This window comes from Homo sapiens, chromosome 13 (genome assembly GCF_000001405.40).
Source record: "Homo sapiens chromosome 13, GRCh38.p14 Primary Assembly".
Classification (NCBI taxonomy): domain Eukaryota; kingdom Metazoa; phylum Chordata; class Mammalia; order Primates; family Hominidae; genus Homo; species Homo sapiens.
In genome coordinates this window covers 21,755,213-21,758,130 of record NC_000013.11, presented here as the reverse complement: position 1 = coordinate 21,758,130, position 2,918 = coordinate 21,755,213, and the positions used below count along the sequence as shown (strand labels likewise).

General features: G+C 46.4%; 1 annotated feature.

Annotated features, from left to right (window-relative positions):
• Nucleotides 1,279-1,976: an enhancer, noted in NCBI's record as "H3K4me1 hESC enhancer chr13:22330294-22330991 (GRCh37/hg19 assembly coordinates)". NCBI's record gives its function as "activates a minimal SCP1, AML or CMV promoter by ChIP-STARR-seq in naive H9 embryonic stem cells {active_cell/tissue: H9 hESC(naive)}" and the evidence as "EXISTENCE:reporter gene assay evidence [ECO:0000049][PMID:30033119]".

Here is a 2,918-nt window from a genome sequence, read left to right as displayed (position 1 = left end):
CTTTGTTTCCACGTTTGTAAAAAGAAGGAAGTTTTTAAAGGGAGTTTTAGCAACTTGGTGTGAAGTCTGGGAAAGTCCCCCACTCCAACCTAGAATATTATCAATGTGCTATGGATAAGAATTCATAAATCCATAAAAAGCCAGATGAAGAAAGAATTGTGATGTCAATGTACAACCCAGCTCTGCTGATCTGATTGCTAAGACTGCTAAGCACCTATTACCTAGGTCACTTCCTTATGTGTGTCATCATCCTCTCTCTCCTCCTTCTCCCACTTCTCCTCCTTCTCTCCAGTGTGATCTGAGTAGAAACTACGATATTTGAGAATATGAAGAAGACATATTTGTGGAATTTATTTTGAAAATTCAACCAGCCAGTCTTCTATATGAAGGACACACACACACTTCAACTTCCAGGCTCAGCAGCCCCCAAGTTTCTCTAAGCTTCTCTGTCCAGGGATATTCACCAGCACACTCAGGCTGGCACTGACTCCTATGGTTTCCAAGGTCCCAATCCACTGTGTCATTCCCAGCTGCACTCACCCTGGCTCAAGACAGTGCCTTCTGCCTTGGGCCACAGGTCTAAGTTGATTTCCAGTGCTAAAGCCTGGCTTGCATTTTTCTATCAAATATATCATTCTTGTCTCTTTTTTTCTGAGTTTTTGGGTTACATAGTCACATCTACAATTTTCGTCAACTTCCTGTCCATCAGTGTCCCCTCTGTGGCTTCCTCAATATAAATGGGTACATAAATGCACAATGCACTCATAAATACAACCTGGGCTTCCCAGGCCAGCCCAGCCCAGCCCACAGGCAAGTCTTGGGTCTCTGGATGGTCAGACACAGACATTCTCAAACTTTGCCCACACTCACCATCCCAGGACCCCCAATTTCTCTTCCAATCTGTCCCCTTTCAAAAAGTGTCAATTCCTCCTCATGACCCCGCGGTATCTGTCCTTTCCATGACATCTGCTGAGGGCTGTGGAGCCCACAGAGCAGCCGGTGCCATGGGAGCTAGGAAGACACTGCCCTGCTGGGGCACTGCAAGCATAATAGATTAGCTGCCTGATGCACACAGCAAGTCAGTGTGCCAAGACACCAGTTCGCAGCAAAAAACAGGTTTAATCGTAGGGTCAATGAACAAGGTGATGAGAAGGAACCTCAAATCCTTCTCCCTGAGGAATTTGGGGTTAGGGTTTTTATGGGTTTTGAATGGGGCCAAAGTGTGGAGATTCTTGACTGGTGGAAGAGTGCAGGGTGAAGTCAGGGGGCAGGGAGAGAGGAAGGCGTTTTATCCTCATGCTGATCCTATTCCTCCGTGGAGGTCCTCAAATTGGTTTCTGGAATTTGAGGTCTGAAAAACCTCTTAAGCGATCCTTAAACAAAAGCCTTATGATTCCAACGTCAGAGCTGCTGTCTGAAGGAACAATGGGAACACAAACGCTCAGACTTGTGGACACAAGGAAGTGGGCCACGGTGCAGCCTGGCTCATGCTGAATTATAACTCTATTTCCACCCAGACAGAACCCAGCATGCAGTTCCTGTCAACCCTGCAGAGGTGGTTTCAGCACCACAGACCTCACCATGGGGGAGATGGGCCTGCTGTGTGTACAAAAGCTGTCCCTTGTGAGGGCAGTGAAGTCCCCTTCAAGGGGTCACCCTCCAAGGCTACCGAGCTGCTGGGATCCATCATCTCTTATGTCAGGAGAAGCCACCAGACCTGCTGGCAGGGAATAAAGGCATACTCTGCTCCCTGCCCCCCCACCCCAGACACCTGGTGCACACTAGGAATAACACACCCCTGCATGGATGTGAAGTCAGCTTCCCTTTCACAGCAGCACACATGCTTTCCACATGTCCTCTGGAAAACAGCTCCCAACAGACCCACCACAGCCCCCGCAGGCCAGCCCAGCCACACCTGAGTCCCTGAGTGAACGACGTGCTCCAACTGCGATCCTTGACACACATGAAATACAGTGCCCTGCATGCCGTGGCTCGGAGGTGGGAGGAAGCTCTGGATCTTCCCATGTTTTTATGTCTGTCTATTGTTGGTGAAGGAAAGTAAACTCTGTAAAATATCTAAAGAGGTTTATTCAGAGCCAATATGAGTGACCATGGCCCAGGGAACAGTCTCAAGAAGTCCTGAGAAAGTGTGCCTGAGGTAGTTGGGTTAGAGTATGGTTTTATACATTTTAGGGAGATAGAGGTTATAAGCAAAGACATAAATCAATACATGTAAGATATACATTGGTTCAGCCTGAAGAGACAGGACATCTCAAAGTGGGGGCTTGCAGGTGGAGGTGGATTCAAAGATTTTCTGTTGGGCCATTGGTTGAAAGAGTTAAGCTTTGTATAAAGACTTGAAGTCAGTAGAAAGAAATGGTTTAATTAAGATAAGGGAGAGTGGAAGCCAAGATTCTTGTTATGTAGAGGAAGCCTCCAGGTAGCAGCCTTCAGAGAGAATAAATGGAAAAGGTTTCTTTTCAGGCTTTAAAAGGCGTCAGACTCAGTTAATCTCTCCTAGATCTGGGAAAGGCCTGGTTTCATTCATAGAGATTCTCTACAGATGCAAATTTCCTCCTCAAAAGACAACTTTGCAGTACCATTTTAAAATACATCAAAGAAATATATCTTGGGAAAAATATTTTTATATCCTTCAGGGTCTGCCATCTGTCATATGACACTACACCAGAGTCAGGTAGGAATTTGGTATCTTCTTGCCAAAAAGACTCTGTTTTTTCTGTCTTATGATTTCCATTTTAATGTTAATGCTGGTCAGTTGTGCCTAAACTCCAAAAAGGAGGAGGTATGAGGAGGCACATCCAACCTGCCTTCCCTTATGGCCTGGAATTCAGTTTTTTGGGTTTCTCTGGGATCCCCTTGGTCAAGAGAGGGTCCGTTCCATGGGGGTGCTTAGGATT